The sequence below is a fragment of the Homo sapiens genome, chromosome 1, assembly GCF_000001405.40.
Source record: "Homo sapiens chromosome 1, GRCh38.p14 Primary Assembly".
NCBI classification, from domain to species: Eukaryota; Metazoa; Chordata; class Mammalia; order Primates; family Hominidae; genus Homo; species Homo sapiens.
Genome location: NC_000001.11, coordinates 55,065,494 through 55,087,520, shown reverse-complemented (window position 1 = coordinate 55,087,520; position 22,027 = coordinate 55,065,494). Strand labels below are relative to the sequence as shown.

Here is a 22,027-nt window from a genome sequence, read left to right as displayed (position 1 = left end):
TTTCCAACGGGACTCCTGAGCATTGTGCAAGCATTAGAATGTTATAGAAAGATCATCCATTTGGAAGGAACATGGCAAATATGCAAATATTTTATTCATTCCCTTATGTCCAAGCAGACTTGCTTTTAAATATCTCCAGAGAAACTGTAACGTCCTTTGGGTAGTATGTTTGGTTTCTTGGTATTCCTAATGCTCAAGAATCCCAGTGAATTACTTCTACATTCTTCCTGATGGAGTTTATTATAGTTTGTTTCTTTCTTTATAAAGACCAATCACTCATCACTATCAATTGCTATGATTTCGTGTTTGAAGAATTAATGATCTTTTTTTCTAATTACTTATTTCTTTATAATTTTTAAGATAGGTTGTCATTTTTGCAACTAAAAAATAAGTATATATACTATACTCATATTTTAGTAACTTTAAACATGAAGAGATATTGTCTTTTAGATCAGCCCCTTGGTATAGTCTTCTAAGGCAATTCTTTAAACATAATTATAATTGTAAAAAAATTAATTCATAGTAAATATTGCTTACAGATTGATCTAAAGAATTCAGACTACTAACATGAAGGATACTTTACATTTTTAAAGAGCCTTTTATTGTGGAAATGTTTAAACACACGCAGAAGTAGGCAGAATGAGCCCTCTCCTGTACCCAGGCCCCAGGCAAGTTGTTGACATTTGCCTGTCTTGCCTTAGCTATCTCAGCTCTCACACAGGATACCCACATGCAGGCTTTTTTGTCTCTCTGAAGTATTTTAAATTGCAGACATTATATCATTTCACAATAAATTTTCAGCGTGTATCTGAAGGTAAAGTTCATCTCTAACAGCAAAGTTAAAAACAATGTAAGTACTTTACTGTTATCACACCAACAAAATTAATATAATTCCTTCATATCACCTTATATCTAGTCCATGTTCAGATTTCCTCCAAAGGTCTCAGAAGTGTCATTTTACCATTGAGTTTGCACAAATCAGGATCCAGTGAGGTCCACACATGGCCTTTGCTTTCTGTGTCTCTTAAGGCTCTTCTGACCATCAGTCATTCCTTTGTCCCCCTGCCCCTTGTATGCTGTGCCATTTGTTTGAGGAGTAGACTGTTTGCTCTGTAGAGCTCCCCATATTCTGGATCTGTTTGCATCCTCTAGGTATTCCCTTCAAGAGAATTGCAGCTGAGTCTGATTGTACCTCTAGAGCTGAACATTATGGGAGTACTTCTTATCTTTTAAACTTTCTCATAGTTGCCACATAGAGTCTTAGTGAATTTTGAACAGAGCCTTGGCTGGTATGTGGCATTACAGTTAGCAGGAATAAGCAGAAGTGAAGTGACCTTGGAAAGCTCCACTTGGCCCATAAGCGCTAACACTGTCAGGAGACTCTACTTTTGTTTCTTGGCTATTAGATGGGACCTATCATGGGAAGGTTGAGGTTGTGGAAATGTATCTTGCTTTTTCACACCACCTTTCTCTTTCTTTCAGGATTTTCTTACTGGAGTGCAATGTGAGAGAAGTACGAGTTGCTGTGGCCACCATTCTGGAGAAAACCCTAGACAGTGCCTTGTTTTATCAGGATAAGGTCGGTCTCATTTTTAAAACGTTATTTATACACTGTGTTTTTACCAAATGTTTTAAATTGCAGGTAATAAGAAAGAGCCTAGGATTGGAGTCTGGTAATTTTGCCACATAAATACACCTTCTGTGAACTGATTTTTGGTACATGCCAGGGAGAAGGCATTCTGTCCCTTCCTCCTCACATCCCAAACACCAGGGTAGGCCAGGAATTCAGGCCTGCTTTGGTCTGCGTTGGGATTTTCTCTCTAGAAACACTCCCTTTTCAGAGTCCTTTCTCAAGAATTTGTATTAGATCTCTCTGAACTGAGACTAATCTGTGTCTAGAGACTCATCTAGGCCAGCAGACATTTTGAGCCACCTCTGGCTTTGTCTTTTTCCTCATAAGCTATTTTCCTGATCTAAACCTGCAGCTGGCAACCAAACCAAATAGTGCTATTCATCCAGGGGCGTTAAGTCCTTACAGGTACAGCAGTTACTTCCCAAGATTGCTGTTTCAAACAGCTGACACTACATGGAAAACTTTGAAAAATGTTATTTTCACAACAAATTGGCTTCTTATAAACATTAGCTGGAGGCATTGTGCCTCAATGAACTAAATACAGATTCTAGGAATTACTGCTTCAAATGCAGATGTTGGCTTTGCTGTGCAACTTTGAGCAAGTCCTTTAAGGAGGATGTTGATCCAGATACAGTGCCTGCCACCCAAGCACTTAGTTCCATGAACAAGGCAGTCAAATATGCCCCTTAGGAAGGTCCTCAAAGACTGTATCTCAATTCCGGGAATCATTAGGAAGTTGAGGTTTACTGTAAGGCAGTGGTTTTGATCAGCTTAAATAGCAGAACCATTTTTTAAACAAAATCCTACCTAGATGCAAAATATAGAATACAAGCCACAGGAGCAGCTGAGGACAGTTCAAATGCCATTGCTCCATTCCCTGTGGAAGTTTCTAAGATGCATCAAGAATCCTTAACATAAGGACCATATCACTCTCCTCCTTCCTCCCATGTACCAACCCAAACAAAGGATAAAGGCAGAGTTAGTGCAGCCTCCCTAGAGATGGGGTCAGGCCGTAGCATATTACCCACCAGCCTCTAAAGGCAGGACAGCAGGCGGCAGAAAGAGAAGGGAATGGCGGCCATACACTTGGAAGCCATTTGCTCAGTGAATTCTGTCTGATGCCCAGCTGATGGATTTTCATGTCTATTTGCCCCCCTCCCCCCGTAAATGGAAATGGTGCCTCTTGCCACCCACTTTATCTTGTAAAGTACTTTGAAAATGAAGTGCTATGTAAATGCTAAATTTTACTGTATTTATAATGGGTGTGACAGGATGGATGGGAATATTGCAGAAGTATGAATACCATCTTCAGAGGAAACGAACTAATGAGAGTAGTAAGCCTGGTCTTAAATCTAGATCACAGATGAATTTCTAGGGACTTGTCCAAAAACAGTTGGGGTGGGAGGGAAAGAAGAAGCAATGTCATAACCAAAATGGTTTCTAAACAAATAAAATGTTTTTCAAAGCTTTCCATGAGGCGTCAGCGGGCTCTCAAGTAAGTTCACGGCTGAGTCGATATCACCGTTGTCATTCTGTCAGGCTGTTGCTATCCATTTGCTCCATCGGCTTGGTTTCCAGCCCCTATGCCTGTGTCTGTGTTTTTTATTCTTTGCATCTGTGATTATGTGAAGAAGTAACGTAGTGGAGGGAGGGATTCAGAAATGTCTTCCCTAAACACCCCACCTTTTTTTAAGAGACAGAGAGATACTGGCTCTGGAGAAAATGTGACTCAGCGGTAGAATTGATGCCCTTGACTCTGAAATCTAGGAACTGAAACTAAGCTTTTCTTTTAATTATTGCTATGGTACCAATCTTTCTCTGGAAGGTAAAATGGATAATTCTGTTTTTGCTCTTCAAAGCATAAGTCCATCTGAATCTGAGACTGGATTGTATCAGACTTTCCTTTTGTTCTTATGGTGGTTTACCTCAAATTAATCCTGTTATAAATGTCTGTCTTACGTTCTTTTTCTTCATGTAATTTTATCTTTCCTCTAACCAGTTAAAAAGCCTTCATCAGTTACTGGAGGTACTACTTGCTCTGTTGGACAAAGACGTCCCAGAAAATTGTAAAAACTGTGCTCAGTACTTTTTCCTGTTCAACACTTTTGTACAAAAGGTAAATAATTTTTTTCCTAATATCTTTTCCTAATACAGAAGATTTATACTCTAAAAAATTTTTAGACTGGATAGTAAAGTTCTATATGGTATGTTTTTTATGATGTTTCTTCCTAAAAATCTTGTGAATTATATTACTTGTAAGAATTCTGATGAGGTGGGTATAGTTACTCATTGATAGCAGTAGAAGTCTGCATTAAAACTAGGGGTTAATTGTTTAGTAGTTATTGTGAAGCAATGTGAGGCTCAGGAGTTTTTTTAATTAGATTTTAACAAGTACTTTCTATATGGAAATAATATTCTTAAAAAATATATTGACTCCTTAAAACTTTCCATTTAGCTGTGTTTTTAAAACCAATTTTTGTCTGGATAGAAATATAATTTGTTATTCTCAATATCTTGTGACAGCAAGGAATTAGGGCTGGAGATCTTCTTCTGAGGCATTCAGCTCTGCGGCACATGATCAGCTTCCTCCTAGGGGCCAGTCGGCAAAACAATCAGGTAAGGACTACTTTTATATCCCTAGTGGAATAGCTATGGTTTTCATAGCCGCTGTGTTTCTTTTTGTAGGTGATAAATGTTTTTAATTTCATAAAAGTCTAAGTAGTAGTACCATAGAGACTTGAAAATTCTTTGGAGTTAAATTATCTTTACAACTTCTTCATACAATTTAGTCTAATAACCCATGGAAATTACTAACTAGTGACAAAGTCATAAGAGGGAAAGGTGGATTCTGACTGGGGAGGGGGTTTCAAAAACCTTTAGGGAATAGGTGGTATTGGGGTCTTCTACTTCCTCTCTGGGGCTGTGAACAAGGCTGTCTTGGTGGTGGTTCTTTTAAGTCAGATGCTGAAAACACAGCCAGAATCCAAATGCAAAGTTGTGCTGTTATAAACTGAATGATAGTGCAGATATAATACTCTTGTTCAAATGAAAAGGAAGTTGTTTGGGTTTTTTTGTTTGTTGTCTGTTTGAGACAAGGTCTCACTCTGTCACCAGGTTTGCTGTCACCCAGATTGGAGCACAGTGGTGTAATCAGGGGTCACTGCAGCCTAGACCTTCTGGGTTTCAGTGATCCTCCCTCCTCAGCCCCCTGGTAGCTGGGACTATAGGCACATGCCACCGTGCCTGGCTAACTTTGTATTTTGTATAGAAACAGGATTTCACCATGTTGCCCAAACTGGTCTCAAACTCCTGGGCTCAAGTGATCTGCCCACCTCGGCTTACCGAGGTTGTTTTGTTAGAATAGTGTTGAATATGTCCAAAACCAACTCTCCTGTTTGAAATTGCTTTATTGCAGTGTTTCTCCCATCCATCGTATTTCTTTTATTTGATAGATTCAAAATACATGAAATGCTAACATGCAGTGGTAATAAGTACTATTTATGGAGTACTTATTATGTACTTGATACGACTGGTCACTTTATTGTGGTATACTTTTGATACTCACAGTTCATCAAAATTAAGCAGCTTCATCCCCATTCTCAGGCAAGGAGTAAAGCTCAGAGATGTTAAGTAAGTTGTCCAAGGTCACAAAGCTAATGCATTGGTGGAGCAGGGATTCAGACCCAGCTCTGCTGGTGTCAAAGCCAGAGTCTTTTCCCCTGTGTGTAAACACATTACACAGGCATTTTTCCTTTCCTGCTAAGGGAGACAGATTTTCGACTTAGGCTTCCTCTCAGCTTTCTCTTTAGTGTTAAAAAAACAAGTACTGACAGCATCACGTGCTCTGTGTGTGGATACTATGTTGAAATTTACAATATCCCTTTTCCACTTCAAACTCTTCCATATCCAAGGCCCCATTGTCACTAGCAATTAGTTTAAATTCACTATAATTCAGCTGCATGTATAATTAATACTATTTTGCATTTGTGGAGCACATTTCTACTTTTGAAAACATTTTCACTTTTAATATTTCATTTAGTCCTCAAAATCACAAAGTAGGCAGAATAGGGAGGTGGCAGGTAGCCTTACCTCTGCCAGTACATGAAGAACTCAAGATACTGTTGTGGTGAAGAACTCACTCACATTACGCGGCACAGTGAGTGGTAGAGGCAGGGCCAGACCTGCAGATCTCCAGCCTCAGAGTTTTTCCCATTATACTGAGGCACGTTGTAAGCACTCAGTACCTACAGTGAATCCATAAAGGGACTGGTTTTAGAATATGAGTTAATATAACCCTTTGAGCTGGCTTAAAACCTGTGATTTTTTTGTACCTTGACCTCTTCTGTCAAGCACTGAGAAATAATTAAAGCCCAGAATATTATGAACCAGCAAACCCTGTCCCTTCCTCTTCATATTATTTCTGACGACAACACTAACAGCCACTTTATCTTCCCTGATGACAGATACGTCGATGGAGTTCAGCACAAGCACGAGAATTTGGGAATCTTCACAATACAGTGGCGTTACTTGTTTTGCATTCAGATGTCTCATCCCAAAGGAATGTTGGTAAGCTTAACATATCTTAGAATGAAGAGATACTGAATTTGTCTAGCTTGGAGAGTAATTATATTAGCAAGTAAATGAATGTCTCTTGTTTCTCATTCGACTACTTGCTAGTTGAGGTGCACTTAAAATTTTTGTTTTAATTCATGTTAAACTTTATAATATTTTACTAGTTTGCCATAAGAGAAAGTGAGTCATCATTCATTTGGGAGAGGTGAGAGGGTATATAAGTATTTTTTTTAAAACAACTCTTTAGGATTAAAAGCTAATTCAGAGCTCATTTATCACCTTAATTTGAACCACTACTGTGTGGAAAATAGCCATGGTGTGGGCTGGAGTCTCCTAGTTTCGTGAACCTGACCGTTCTGATCTTCAGTGCAAAATGAAAATACTCAAAACATAATTCCCCAGGTATAATGAGATAATGAGATAAAGTACTTTGTAAAAACAAAGGGGATGCAGATATAAATTACATCATTGAAATATATTTGAATGTAAGATACAGTTGGTAGCATTTTCCATTTTGTCTCCCAGAACTAATAACACAGTCATCATCCAATACAGCAAAACCACAAATTGTCCTATATGATTATCCAGTGTCCTAACTTATGTGTGTACTGTTTTTATACTCTTCCTGGGTCTTGTCATGATAGTGACAACAACCATAGTAATAATACAACAAACCAGCTTTTCAGTGTTTTCTGTGTGCTGTGCTTTAAATTTATTGTGTTTAAAGCACACAGTGCTTTAAACTTACTGTGTTTGATCCCCGTAACAAACCTATGAGGAGTATTCATCCTGTCTATGGATGCAAAAACTAAGGCACAGAAAGGTTTAGTAACCTCCACAAGGTCATACAGCTAGTTAGTGGCATAGAAGCCAAGGCATGAATGCAAACTCAGACCCAGAAGCTACTAGGAAGATCTAATGGCAGGAAACTAAATAAAAACACAGAGCATCCTTCTGATAGAGAAATGCTTATTGACTCTCTAAAGGGACATTGGAGGAACACTCAGGTGGTTGTGTTATAAGGCAGAGTCTGCTTACTAAACTCCAACTCATCTAAAAAGACAAAGCTACCTAATTTTGTGAGTTCAGACAATTTTGTAACGAAAATTAAAGTATGCATTCTGGTTTTTCTAGCAAATGAAATAACTCCTTCTATATGGGTTGATTCTGCTTAGCATAGGTGGTGTTAGCCATTATTTGAGAACAGTTGTTTGAGGAACAGAAGTGTCTTCTCCACTGTATCTTCAGTGGCAGCTTTCGGCAGTATTTCATAAACTATTTATATTTTTACCTCTTTGAAAGATTATGGAGTGGGAATCACTAGGTATCCCCCCTAGACTGTGAGGGATCCGCTGTGTGAGTACTCAGTGTGTTTGTGAGTACTCAGTGTGTGTGCGAGTACTCTGTGTGCGAGTTCTCTGTGTGTGCGAGTACTGTGTGTGAGTGCTCAGTGTGCACGAGTACTCTGTGTGTGAGTACTGTGTGTGCAAGTACTCTGCGAGTACTCAGTGTGTGAGTACTCAGTGTGTGAGTACTCTGTGAGAGTACTCAGTGTGTGTGCGAGTCTTGAAGGAGGCACATTTTCTTATGGATGTGTATTTTGTGGAGTAACACCAGGTGAGACAGGTTCTGTTTTGTTTCTTTGGTCTCCTAAAGCTCCTGGCATATTTAAGCAACGACCACCCATTAGCATTGCTCCCTCAAGCCCTCTGTTGCCCCTCCATGAGGAGGTAGAAGCCTTGTTGTTCATGTCTGAAGGGAAACCTTACCTGTTAGAGGTATGTACTTGTTATTCTAAAGCCATTTTTTTCCCTCCTGTTTGAGGAAAATTGCTTTTTGTTACGAGTTATGTTTGGCATGAAGAGTATTGTTAAGAAATGGTTCTTTCAAATTAAGTTTTCTTATATGTCAAAAAGAAATAATTAGTGGAAGAGAATGTTATTAGTCTTCTGTTCAGCCAAGGTCCAGACCTCCAGGTCCAGCCCAGCCAGCTACCCATCAGGGCCCCAGAGGGAGGTAAATGGCACTTCATCCATCAAAATCATTTCGTTAATTGTAGAGGGTTTCATCCCCAATCTCTTTTGTGTGTTCCTGGTCCTGGAATACTACAACTCTGAACCACGTGTGTTGTTAAACCTCAGGAGTGTGGGTGGGCTGCTCTCAGCTCTCCATCATGGTGCCTGTGTGGCTCATCCTCAATCCAACCTTCCCCTTCCAGCAGAGCCGCCCCCAGCTGTGGACTCCATCTTCCAGTCCTTCTTCCCTACCTGATTTACAGATATGTGAATCTATGAACAATATAATTCTGGTTTTTTTTTTTAAATTAACAGTGTTGTGCTATTTAATACATATCTTTTTTTTTTTTTTTTGCTTAATATTTTTTGGATCTGTTGGTGATTATTTTAATTGTGGGAGCTTTTGCCTTTGAAAAACTGATGGAAACGACTCCTGAAAAAGTGCACATTTGCACAAAATTGTGTAAAATTTCAGACAGGCTTAGACACCCTGAAGTCTATCTATAGACTTCTAACAGTTAAGAAACCCTGTTTTCAGGCAGTGTTAATTATCTTAAAATCTGGGTAGATTTCAGTTAAAGGCAGCAACAACAGATGGAGTGTTAACTGTGACATGAGAATAGCTGACTGTGTTATGTCTTCCCACCAGGTAATGTTTGCTTTGCGGGAGCTGACAGGCTCGCTCTTGGCACTCATTGAGATGGTAGTGTACTGCTGTTTCTGTAATGAGCATTTTTCCTTCACAATGCTGCATTTCATTAAGGTAAGACCTCAGTTAAACGAGTGATAGCCAGATAGCCTTTAAGTGAGACTCTAGGAGAGCATCTTTTTGCTCCAAGGCAGTATGCTTGTTCTCATAGCCTAAGTTGTTTTTCCTAATCATTCTAGTATAGGCTCAGTTTTATTCATTTTTAATCTTTAATTTTTAATTACATGGATTAATTACTACACTCTCTTTGGGAAAAATTTAAGCATAGAAATGAGGCCAAAAGAAAAAATATAGGCCAGGAAAATAATAAATAAATAAATAAGAAATGAGACCAGAGTCTACTGTGGTCATCACCAGTCATCCTTGCTCACGCTACCCCAGGGACCAACACTGTTACATTGATATTTCCTTCCAGGCCTCTTTATATGAATTTCCACTATGTATATATTAGTTTCTGCCCACAGAATTTCTGCATGCCTTCTTTTATGCACCAGTATTTATAGTGGTGATACATGTAGTGTTAACAAGAAGCAGGTGATTAGTGGATTATGTCTTTAGGCTCTTATTATAATATGTTTTGCCCTCAGCCTTTTCTCTACAGACCTATATCAGAGGAGATTAAGTTCCTCTCTTTGCTATTTACTAATTATATGACCTTGGGCAGTTTCTTCCTCTATGACTGACTTCACAGGTTGTGAGGATTCAGTGAGGTGGTATAATACGTGAAGTGCTCACTTAGTACTGTACCTGGCCTCTTGGAAGTGTGGTATTTTAACACAATGTCCTTTCCCACTTTTATACATATAAATTTTATTAAAATGGCTGAAGGAGTGTGTTCTATGAATTTTGCCTTCTTCACTTAGTATATCTTGGCACATTTTTCTATTTTATAAGCTGACTTTTTATGTACTTTGTTCATAGCATCCTTAACTCAGAGTATTCCCATTTGTATTCTTGTAGCTCTACCAGCATCTTCTGGAAAACAAACTAGGATATGGACATATATAAAATCGGATCTGTTTAGTGACTTGAAATCTCCCCTACTCTTTCTTTTCTTTTCTCCTTCCTAATTTCATAGTAAAGTATCAGAGTGTTGCAGCTGGAAGAACCTTAGAGGTTGTTTATTTCAGTTCCCAGACTTAGCATTTGAGAAACTAAGGCCTAGAAAGCAGTATTGACTTGTCCAGGGTCGGCCAGAAGGTGATAGAGCTAGAACGTGGATCCAGCATTGTTAATTGCCATTCCAATATGCTTTCCACTGAAGTTTTTATGCTTTTAAAAAATATTTCAGAACCAACTAGAAACGGCTCCACCTCATGAGTTAAAGAATACGTTCCAACTACTTCATGAAATATTGGTAAGTCATAACTGTTCTGACTCACTTTTATTTAGGAATGTATTAGTCAACAAGTGTTTATAAATAAAAAATTATATGTCTTTTTATTATTTCTCCATTCATTTGGTCTGCATTTATTGAGACCAAATCTTCGTGTCAGTCATGTGTCTAATGCATTTGGTTTAGAGGCGAGCAGTAATAAAACTACCTCCTAGGAGCTCACAGTTGAGTGAGGGAGCAAGACAAGTACACAAACAACTGTAGTGCAGGGGACTGAAGGGGAGTGATAGTGATGGTTAACCCCTGCCAGGGCCTACAGTGGAGAAGGCATCGTGTTAGCGCAAATGATATTAGGTTTAAACTTCACAGTCACCCTCAGAGGTACATTTCTGGCTTTATAGTTTATCAAATCTTAGACACTATTGACTGTATGTACGTACTATGAAAAATATTTTTAAGAGCCATGAAACTGAAATGTAATCAATTGTAGGATTCTTTCCACTCTCAGAAGTGTGAAGAGCAGGGGAAAAAAAAATCCTCTGGCAGTTGTATTGAAGGATGGAGTAAAGAAGGATGCAAGATTGGGAACTAGAAGACCATTTAGGAGTCTGGGAATATTCTGAGTGTGAAATAATAAGGCCTGTGGTGGGGCAAGGGACAGACAGATCAAGAGGTATTGTGGAAAGAGAATCATTGGAATTTGGTGACTGGTTATGAGTTAATGAGTGTGGTTCAGAGGTTCCTTAGAGAGTGAGGGCCTGGGTTCCCTTCGAATTCTTGATACTCCATAGAGGCCTTGGCACAGAATAATCATTTAATAAAGAGTTTTGAGTAAGAAAAGACATCATAGATGCCATTTGTTAAAAGCTTATTTTTCAAGTTCTTTACTTCCTTTTGGTCCTAGTGCTTTTACAGACTTTGGCAGATTATTGCTCCTTAGGGATAGGACTGTGTATTGTTCATCTATCAACAACAAACCCATATAGTTTTTATACCATGCACAGTTCAGTACTAAGAACTAGAAATACAGCTATGATAGCAAAACTTCAATACATTTTTACTAAGCAAGTTAGAGCATAAACCTCTTATCCTTAGGATCATAAAGTATATGTCCTCATAACCCACAGAGAACTATAGATCTAGTTGATAGCAACACATAGATAGGAAATGAATAGACCTTTAAGTATAACTTAATAGTTTTTTCTCTTAGTTTTAAGATATATTTGAGATATGTGGCAGCCGTGTAATATTTGTTTGTATTGGGTTTTTTGTTTTGTTTTGTTTTCTTTTTTTCAAGACAGAGTCTCCCTCTGTTGCCCAGGCTGGAGCCACAGTCGTAGCTCACTGTAGCCTCAAAGTCCTAGGCACAAATGATCCTTTTGCCTCAGCCTCCTGTATAGCTGGGACTACAGGCACATGTCACTGTGCCCAACTAATTTCTTTTTTTATTTTTTAGAGATGGGATCTTGCTTTGTTGCCCAGGCTAGTTCAGAACTCCTGGCCTCAAGTGATCCTCCTGCCTTGGCCTTGCAAAGTGCTGAGATAACAGGCATGAGCCACCATGCCCGTCCTGTATTGGTGGTGGTGGTGTTGTTGTTGTTGTTGTTGTTGTTGTTGTTGTTGTTGTTGTCAAACACTAAATTAATCTCTTGGGTAGAATTATAAAGAAAGCACCCGTGGCTATGACAAGTTCCTTCTTTTATTTACTAATTTTTGTTTCTTCCTTTCCCAGGTTATTGAAGATCCTATACAAGTAGAGCGAGTCAAATTTGTGTTTGAGACAGAAAATGGATTACTAGGCAAGTATGCCTGGTCTTATGCACAAATGTCTATAGTAAATATGTGGATAATCTATTGTTCTGGCCAGTTCTGCCTCCTGCTACTCTCGGTGGGATCTACAGTGACTGATACAGTAGAAGTCTGGTCAGGGCCACTGGGCTCCCTCATTCTGGTCAGAAAAATTAAAACCCAGGGATCTTCTCACCCTACACATTTCTCCTCTTTTAGTCAGGAAGGTGTAGCTTGGGATTCTTTTACCAGATAAGGCAAGATTCAGGGGTGCTGTGAGTTTTTTTCAACAAGCTAACGGCCACTCCCTGATGCAAGAAATTTTTCATTCTACTCTGTAGCCACTGGGGAGAGAAAAACCAAAACCTGAGACGCAGGATGTTGTCAGGCTCATGAAATGTGAATGTCTTTTTACCTATAGTAAGCGTAACCATATTTTCACAGTCTACTCTTAAGTTGTTTGGGCAGGGCTTTCTTTTTCAGAAGGCTAAATTGGCTTTCCTGAGCTATTTATTAGAAAAAGTTTAGTTAAGAATAATTTTAGCCAGCTTCCACCATTTACCTGTATTTCCACTTAATCTGAATCATTTTAGATTTTGCTATGTATTAAGAGATTTAGGGCCTTTTTCTGTTGTAGAAAAAAGATTTAAGCTAAAAAGTTTTGTAGCTTCAGCTTTTCAGGCCACCCTTTGGAACGCTGTACTCTAGTCAGAGCCACACACAGGCCGTCTGGAACTTAAAAACTATAAACTCCTCAAGAGCAGGACCAAGTATTATTTTTTATTTTTATTTATTTATTTATTTATTTATTTATTTATTTATTTATTTATTTTTGAGACAGGGTCTCACTTTGTCTTCCAGTCTAGAGTGCAGTGGCATGATCTCAGCTCACTGCAAACTCTGCCCCACAAGCTCAAGTGATCCTCCCACCTCAGCCTCCCAAGTAGGTGGGATTATGGGCACATGCCATTAGCCCAGCTAATTTTTGTATTTTTTTGTAGAGACAGACTTTCATCATGTTGCTCAGGCTGGTCTCAAACTCCTGACCTCAAGTGATCCACCCGCCTTTGCCTCCCAAAGTGCAGGGATTACAGGCGTGAGCCACCATGCCCGGCCTATTTATGTTTAAATCCCTAAAACATAGAGCAGGTGATAATTGCTGAACTGACCCTAGCATCATAAAATTTCATTTATCAATCTAAAAGTACTAGAACTACTCTCAGTAATATGATATGTGGAAAAGTCTCTAGGTGAATAATCAGGCAGTAAAAAGTTTTGTTCCTGTTCAGTTCTCCTAAAAGTCAAACTTGCAGCACCATGTATGTTTTTTTTGTTGTGGTTTTTTTTTTTTTTTTTTTTTAAACATACTTAAAGTAGTGTTTCCACCCATTAGAATTTAGGGATTCTGTTGAGTCAGGCACCACCATGCTTTTAGTTAAGTTGTTCCTTATCTGTTTATTAAAATAGTTTGTCGATTTTTAGAACAAGAGAGCTTGTTGTCACTTGGAGCCATTTTCAGTTGAGTCTTTTATTGTTAAAATGTCCTTTTCTCTTCCCTCAGCTTTGATGCACCACAGTAATCATGTGGACAGTAGTCGCTGCTACCAGTGTGTCAAATTTCTTGTCACTCTTGCTCAAAAGTAAGTATTGAATTAAAATGCAGGGAGGAAATGGTGTTTTAATTACAAGTCACATATGAGCAGAAGGGGAACATGTGCCCGGTTTTGATACCTGGAGAATCTGACTCAGTCAGGGCCTGCTTGCTTGGAAGGTACAGAAACCTATTTGCATGATCTCAAAAAAATATGAGGGGAAGTATTAAAAGAGTGACAGATCTTTATAGAATCCCAGAAAAGCTCACCCATCAGGCCTTATGTCAGAAAGGCAGGAATCAGGGCAGATATGGAGGCTTTAAGAGCAAGAGTTCATGAGCTTTCACTCAAGGTTTCTCATTAATGTAACCCAGCTACCAGCTCTTCAGGCTCTAGGTCCCTAACCTCAGAATAGCCTTTCAAATCATGTCACCTGTAGCTCCTGAGCACTTGTGAACCCAGGCACCGTGTCAAGAACCTTGCCTGTATTATCTTATTTCATCTTTGTAACAACTTCATGAGGTTAGTACAGTTGTGAGTCATATATCATGGGTAGTTTAAGTGACATGCCTAGAGTCATAGAGTGAAAACTTGAACACAGGCTGATTGACTGCAAAATGAAGGTTCTTTTTTTTTTAATTGTGGTGAAATGTACATAACATAAAATTTACTATTTGAACCATTTTTAAGTGTATAGTTCAGTGACTTTAAGTACATTCACACTGATGTGCAACCATCACCACCATCCATCTCCAGAACTCTTTTCATCTTCTGAAACTGAAACTCTGGACCTATTGAAGACTGACTCCCTATTCCTCCCTTCCCCCAGCCCCTGGGGGAAGCAATTGTAATTTCTGTCTCCATGAATTTGACTACTCTAGGAACCCCATTTAAGTAGAATCACAAATATAAAGACAACTGAATTTTAATGAAACTAGCATTTACGTTTCAAAATGAAGCACTAGGAACAAGCAAAGAAAGAATTTGGCTAATAAAAATCTCCTCGGTCATCAGGTGTCCTGCAGCTAAGGAGTACTTCAAGGAGAATTCCCACCACTGGAGCTGGGCTGTGCAGTGGCTACAGAAGAAGGTAACTGAACATTGAATTTTTCTAGCTGTAACATAGGAATCAATAATAGCACATCTTGTCAGGAAAAATCTCTAGAACTGAATATGGAGACTGACCTTAAAGTGTTTTCAGATTTCAAACATTTCTTTGCTACAGTTTATATCTTGTGTGCATTAAATTTGTCCTAATACATATGTCTTAACTTCATAGGGGAAAAGGTAGGGATGATGATATAAGAAGCAATACTTGACTGAGGTCTTGAATCGCTTTATGTGATGGAAGGTCTGGGTAGACTTGTACCCTACTTGGGATGCTTTTAAGACTCAATATCTAATGGTAGAAACTGTGAACCCATGGGGGCTTATTTGTCACCTCTGATGGCATTTTTGACCTTTCATCTCAGATGTCAGAACATTACTGGACACCACAGAGTAATGTCTCTAATGAAACATCAACTGGAAAAACCTTTCAGCGAACCATTTCAGCTCAGGTGAGAGTTGTCTCTTGTTTTTGCGTGGTCTAAATCACTTATGGAGGATTTTCAGTGTGTTTCTCAGAAACTGCAACCTCTGAGAAGAGAGGTATGAGTTGAAGATGAGAACAAGCAGAAGAAACAATTGGATTTCTATGAAAAGAAAACAGATTGGTGTACACTTACACAAATTTGTGCAGATTATTTGTCTAGAAGGAAAGTCATACAGGTTGGGCAGTCTGGTCACAAAAAGGGACAGGGGTTGAGGGGGTTCTGGTGACTGTGATGAAGGCCTCACTCTCAGGCCTCCGGTCCCACTGAAGGTCAGATGAAAGGTAGTCTTCCCTGGCGGTTGCTGCTGCCACTGAATGGGCCCTAACTTTGTCGTCTTGTGTTTGAATCTTCTGCAGGACACGTTAGCGTATGCCACAGCTTTGTTGAATGAAAAAGAGCAATCAGGAAGCAGTAATGGGTCGGAGAGTAGTCCTGCCAATGAGAACGGAGACAGGCATCTACAGCAGGTATAACGGTCAGCATGTCCTTGTGTGCAAAGGGCAGCCTTGCTCTTAAGCTTTCCAAAAAGAATTTCCACAGCTGAGGGAAAACAAGATGCTTCCTCTGGAATGTGAGTCCAAAGAGTTACCAGCGCTGCCCTCTAGTGATCTCAGCTCAGCATATGCACTAACCGTGTGTTTACAGGGCTGAGTAGTGCTGCAGTGTGAAGTGAATGGAAGGCCTCGAGGTGTTTGTGGCTGGCCACCCTGATCAGCCTGCAGGTAGTCCCGATGAAGCCAGGGCACAGGGGGATTCGTTCCAGCTTGTTCACTTTATTCTGCCTTGCCAGGTTACTGAAAGTCCCTCGTTTGCTCTCACCAGCCTTCCTGGAAATGTGGACTCTTGAAAGAAAAGCTCCCGTGCTCTTGAAGTATACCTGCTTGCCAGGGGAGTCCAAGAAAATTTTGACATGTATTTTTAAAAAAAGAAAAAAAAACAGCTTTAATACCAATCATTATAGTAGAAAAAGAAAATAAATATGTATTGAACACCCACTGTGTGCAAACACTGAACTAAGTGTCAGTTAATCATTACGTCTTTCCAATAGTCTGTAACTTTCCTTAACAGCAGTCTCCTCTGTGGTCCCTTCACAGTACTTGGTACAGAATAGGCCCCATTAAATGAATGTTACTGATGTAGTAGGTGTCATTTTTTTTTAAGTGTTATCTTTCGGATCCTCATAAGCACTATGTGAGGCAGCTGTCACCCTGATTTTACAGAAAGGTAACTGCAGCCCAGCACAGTGATGTGACTTAGCCCAAGGTCACTCCACACATTACCTCATCACCTACTTCATTTGCAGAGAAAATAAAAGCTGTCACAGGAGAGCTCCTGCGGCCACTAATTCCCAAGCATCTGCACTGTTCTTGTCTCCTCTCCTGTGACAGTGGGAAGTTTGCCTCTGTCCACCCAAAGCCCCTAGCGCTCATCCCCGCCCACCTTGGCAGAGCTTTGCGTTCTAATGTGTATGTAACTCTTCAATATCCAGAACGCTCCACCCTGCCAGACCCTTCCCAGCGACGTCTCAGCACACTGGTTTCTCTTCTGCCCTGTCAAAGCCTCTCTTCTGCCCTGTCAAAGCCTCTCTTCTCCCTGTTGCCCCTGCCTTCTTTTCTCTTCTTTGCAGCCAAACTTCGACTAATTCTCTAAACTTAACTTTCCCCATTTTCTTATCTCTCACTCGCTCTTCAGCCTCTTCCCTGCTAACTCCCTCTTCTCTCCAACTCAGCAGTTGGGGTGACAGGTGGCCTGCAGCTTTCAGGCCTCATCTTAGCCGACTGCTCGGCAGCATCTAGCGCTCCTGGCGCTCTTCCCGTTTGAAACACTATTCCAGGGCTTTCCTGACACTTCTCTCTCGTAGTTTTCCTCAAACCCTTCTGGCTGTTCCTTCTCTGTCTCCTTCCTAGTACTGCCTCTTCTGGACCACCAGTAAAGGTTTGTGGAGTCTCTAACCTGTATCCTCCTGCCCTCACTCCATATTCTCTCCGCACCCACCTTGGATTTCTGAACATGAACATCCAGCTCTCTTGTTCTTGACGTTCTCCACTTGGCATACCTTAAAGACCTCAGACTCGATGTGCCCAGCCCCTCCTCCCTGCGCCCACCAAAGCTGGCCCTCCGTCAGTGTTCCTTATCTCACACACAGCACCCCCATGTCATCCCGGACAGCTCCCTTTGAAAGGGTGCTCGTCCCTCTCCTCCACCTGTCATCAGCCCCTCTCTGCCTACATCTGTAAGGATCCCCTCACCTCCACCCCTGCTTCTCTCTGGTTCATGCACTAAAACCTTTCAAAGGCTTTGTATGAGGAGAAAAGCCAGAATCCTCAACACAGTCCTGCTTGATCTAGCACCTGCGCACCTCCCCACCCCCATTTTCTGATTTTTTTTTTTTTTTTTTTTTTTTTTTTGAGATGGAGTGTTGCTCTGTCACCCAGGCTGGAGTGCAGTGGTGCAATCTCACCTCACTGCTACCTCCTTCTCCCAGGTTCCAGCGATTCTCCTTGCCTCAGCCTCCCAAGTAGCTGGGATTACAGGCATAAGCGACTGTGCCTGGCCCATTTTCTGAATTTTATTTATCAAATGTACTCTCTTCCTTCCACCTCAGGGCCCCCCTACTCACCCCCAACTCTCACTCAGCTTAGGTTGTCACTTTAGAGAGACTGTCCTTGCTCCTCCCCACCCCAGCTCCAACTAGATCAGCCCCATGGCACACGGTGAGTATTCAGAACGATTCGCCAAGTGTGTAAGCCAAAGGCCACACAGATGGTAACAGAGGTAGCCTTCAGACCCAGGAGTGACCCAGAGCCCATATTTGGCAGGTGCAGGGCAGGGAGGCTCACACAGTGCCCAACGTGAAGCGGGCACAATGGCCATCAATGCCTCTCCCAGCTTTATCACTGCTCTGCGTTCTCACATGGGTGCAGAGTAGCATTGTGACTTTAGACAAGTCGCTGGGTTGTTTCACTGACTAAATGAGATCATAGAAATGTACATGTTTTACATAATCATGAATTGTCAAATATTAGATGTAATAGTTATCACATTTTATTACCCTTTGATAAACATTGCATTAAGTTGCCAGATGAAGACATGTTTAAATTGCAGAACACAAGTCAGCATAGAAAACCTTTTCTCTAACCGTATGAACTTTAACTTCCTTTTCTTTTCTGCAGGGTTCAGAATCTCCCATGATGATTGGTGAGTTGAGAAGTGACCTTGATGATGTTGATCCCTAGAGGAACATGCCCAGCCTGAGAGGAGTCAAGACACAATACTGGATGCTCAGCACCTTCTTGGAATCAGAATCTCGAACCCTTTGGAAGAGCCTGGAGATTGGACTGGGAAAGCTGCTGTGACTTGGGCGGATCGTGTATTTCTCAAGGAAAGCATTTTTAAGCCACTAGAAGGTTTGGGAGCTGTTTGGCAGTGGGAGAACTCCGGCATGTGGATCAGCTGTCCCGGGAGCGTGGTCTATATGTGGATTCACATTTCTGTGGAGATTTTCGGAAATAGAGCCAGTGGCAGACTTTTTTGTTACACGAACATACAAGAGTGAGCATAAAGCTGTTGCTTTCTCTACGATGCTACAAAAGAAATTCCTTTGGTTTTTATATTTTAAGAAAAAGCAAGCTGCTTTTAGATATGTGGGGGCAAATTTTTAATCTTGCAGTAATATTAAACAGGAATATCCAATTTAAAATGATGTAAAGATGTAATAAAATTCCTTTTCATTGTAAAATAGTAATTAAGTCAATTTACACAGACCTTTGTATTTAATATGTCTCCCTATTTGTATAGAATTTCAGATGGGTCTAGATGAGAACCCTATGCATAAGCTTGGATCTTGATGAAAGGTTACCAGGATCAGGATCAAAAATTGGGAAATACTAAGCTCTTGAAGATATTTTTCTGATATAATTAGATTGAAAAGAGCAATTTTGAAAATGCTGTGTTCTCCAGAAGTACAGGGTGCATTATTTGACATCAATTACTTAAAGAAGTTATGAGTTGTTCCCCAAACAGATTTTAAAAACAGCAAAATAAAAGCACTTTAAGATATAATTTTACTGAGTTTAACTTCACAGAATTATCTTTTTAATGCTTGGAGACATATTGAATAAACTGTAGTCTTAAATCATGTGATCTGCAATCGTTTGCTTTTGCTTAAAACATAATTACTGAAACCCTTGGTATTGGTTGTATATGAAGTTAACTATTTGAGTTGGTACACACTGCTTGTGAGTTTCATAGTTATTGTAATGCAGAGAAGGAATTTGAGAATTTGTTTCTCCTCAACATGACTAATTAACACTGAAAAGTCAGTCAAGGTTTAAGATTTATTTTCCCAGAAATAAATATAAAGCAATTGAATAACCATCCATTTAGTCGTATTTCCAAAGTATAGCACCATTCACTCATTTATACCAGCTCCCTTTTATGGTGTGGGGGAGAGGTTTACACCCACATATTTCATATATATTTTGTACATTTTGTATTTTGAATTGCTCACATTTTCGGCCCTGTTTTGCCTTTAGTTACAGGTCCTGCCTTATTTTCATCTCACCATGCACAGAACTAGGGAGCCTTAGGAAGTGCCAGGTTTTCACTGTCAGATTTGCCAAGTCACAGAGGCGCAGCCAGCCCTGAAGTGCCTGTCTGGCTGCTGTGGCATTGTGTGGGCATGTGGCCAGGCAGATGGCATCTCATTACTGTGCTCTCGCCATGGCCCAGTCTTTTCATTCTCTGGCAGTGAGGGTTTCTGTGCTGTCAGACTTCATTGTTATTCTGTGACTTGCTGGAGGTTGGCAGTGGCCTTTGTCAAACACACTGAGAAGATGGAAGGGCCAGCACTTAAGAGCAGAACTGTACCCTTAGAGAAACGGACAGAGGCGAGTGGCAAACTTCAGACGGTTCCAATGGTCTTGCAGTTTGAAATGTGATGTTCTACCATTGGTTTTGAGTACGTGAATACTTCCTGTCCTACTGTTTCCCCTACCCTATTCTCACCTTCTCTCCGCCCACATCCTCACCAAGAGATTGTGTGGGACATGACCTTGAAATGCTGGCGATGATCCACACTGGGATATCATCGCTGGCGACTGCACTCTCAGGAGCCCAAAATCAGGAGTGAAATTGCCACTTCTAGTCCCCTTATTTCCTATGGAAACAACGCCTTCCGCACCCCTAGCACCTGCCGTCCTCACTGTAAAGCTTCATCAGGATCGTCCACCGTGTATATTATACGCTTCAGATCATGTTGCTTATATTGTTGCTGCAATGACCATCGTTTTCACTTTGCTGGTAACCACTTGATTGCTGACAGCTACAGTCAATGAACCTGCTGATGACTTTTTTTAATGTAGTACAACAGTGACAGTTATGACAGGCTTACCTTGGAAGAGTTGTCATTTTTACTGCCAATTTTTTGGATGAAGATGTTTTTATAAACCTTTCAAAATGGTCTGCAAACAGAGCAGGAATTGCACAATTAACTCAATAATGCTGTGTGTTCTCAAGAAGCTCCCTTAGTGAGGCCGATCTTAAGATGGCCGATTCTGCCCGTTGAAGGCATCCTGGGAAAGAAAACAAGCATCCCAGCGGGCATCTCACCACGACTTCTCCTGGAGTCCTCACACGGTCACTGACAACTACAGTCAGTTTTAGGAACTAGAGTGCCGTATCATCAGACTTACCCTGTCCTGCCCCACCTTCCCTGCTAACATCGAGGTGTGTGCAGTTACCTTCTGAGCTTGGAACAAGCAGACTGGAATTTTCCTCTGCTACCTCTTGTGTATAAAATCTTGTTTATAAAATTTCAAAAGGAAGTAGATACACTAGGGAAGAACCTTAATTCTAAATTTGGTTCATGTGTGGCAAAGTTCTTAGCTTCTAAGAGTATAAAATAAATTTTTCAAAAACAGAGTTGGAGTCTTGCCGCCATTCTTCATATATCAGAACACAGCCGTAGTGGGCGGGGGAACACGAGCCTGTGCCTGGTGCTAAATGCTGTTGATTCCTCTTAGTACTTTACACTAATAAAGGGGACTGTGGGTCCTCTGAGCCTGTTGCTGTTCTTTTCTCTGGAGGGGCTGACCATTTCAGGATTCATCTGCAAAGCTTAGAGGAGGATGCTGAACTTAGGTTGATGGTCTCCATTCATCTCCACCAAAGCTTTTGGCTCTCCCAAGTGGTCCCCAGCATAGATCGTGTCGCTGGTCACACTGGGCTTCTTGCTAGATCCCACAGGTCTCAGTCTCATTCCTAGTGGCCAGCGTTGCTCACATGGGTCCCCTTCCCTATTTGCTAGTCCAGATTTTCGCCTTCCTGCAAGCCACACCCCTTCCTCCCCGATCCCTGGTGACCACCTGCTAACCCTCTGCAAGAACCAAGTTGTTCCAACATCACAGAGCTGTCAGGGTGTGGATCTCTAACCAGCTGATACTTGATTCTGTGGAGGGGAAGGAGAGAGAGTCTAGGGTTGCACCACAGGCCTAGGTTCCAACGGGCAGAGATAACACAGTTGGGTGTTCAAGCCATTGCCATCTGTCAACTCTTGAATGCTTTCCATATATGACACTGAATTGTCAGAAAATGTAATCTGGGAGGAATTTTGCCTGAGATTCCTTATGACATGGGCTGTCTAGAGAGAGAGAGAACTTGCTTAAGACAGCTATATTCACCAGCCTTAGAGTGGAGGGCCTGGAGGTCCCACATTGAATGGGATCATTATGCACTCTGTAACCCAGGCTGCAGTGCAGTGATGATGTAATTACAGCTCACTGCACCC

General features: G+C 40.8%; 1 protein-coding gene across 6 annotated transcripts in view; it reads left to right on the top strand.

Moving 5' to 3' along the window:
• Window positions 1-21,162, top strand: part of USP24 (ubiquitin specific peptidase 24) — a 149,006-nt gene extending 127,844 nt beyond the window's left edge. For 5 of the 6 annotated variants that reach the window (XM_047416524.1, XM_017000832.2, NM_015306.3 and 2 more), the window contains 13 exons: window positions 1,483-1,579; window positions 3,633-3,749; window positions 4,157-4,249; window positions 6,097-6,199; window positions 7,862-7,983; window positions 8,870-8,983; window positions 10,221-10,286; window positions 11,998-12,064; window positions 13,615-13,693; window positions 14,660-14,735; window positions 15,118-15,204; window positions 15,597-15,707; window positions 18,414-21,162. In XM_047416524.1, coding sequence (XP_047272480.1) covers window positions 1,483-1,579; window positions 3,633-3,749; window positions 4,157-4,249; window positions 6,097-6,199; window positions 7,862-7,983; window positions 8,870-8,983; window positions 10,221-10,286; window positions 11,998-12,064; window positions 13,615-13,693; window positions 14,660-14,735; window positions 15,118-15,204; window positions 15,597-15,707; window positions 18,414-18,476 — 1,195 coding nt within the window. In that variant the 3' untranslated portion in view covers window positions 18,477-21,162. Of the gene's footprint in view, window positions 1-1,482; window positions 1,580-3,632; window positions 3,750-4,156; window positions 4,250-6,096; window positions 6,200-7,861; window positions 7,984-8,869; window positions 8,984-10,220; window positions 10,287-11,997; window positions 12,065-13,614; window positions 13,694-14,659; window positions 14,736-15,117; window positions 15,205-15,596; window positions 15,963-16,062; window positions 16,124-18,413 lie in introns of those variants that run through there. The other variant, XR_001737080.2, reaches the window with a different exon arrangement.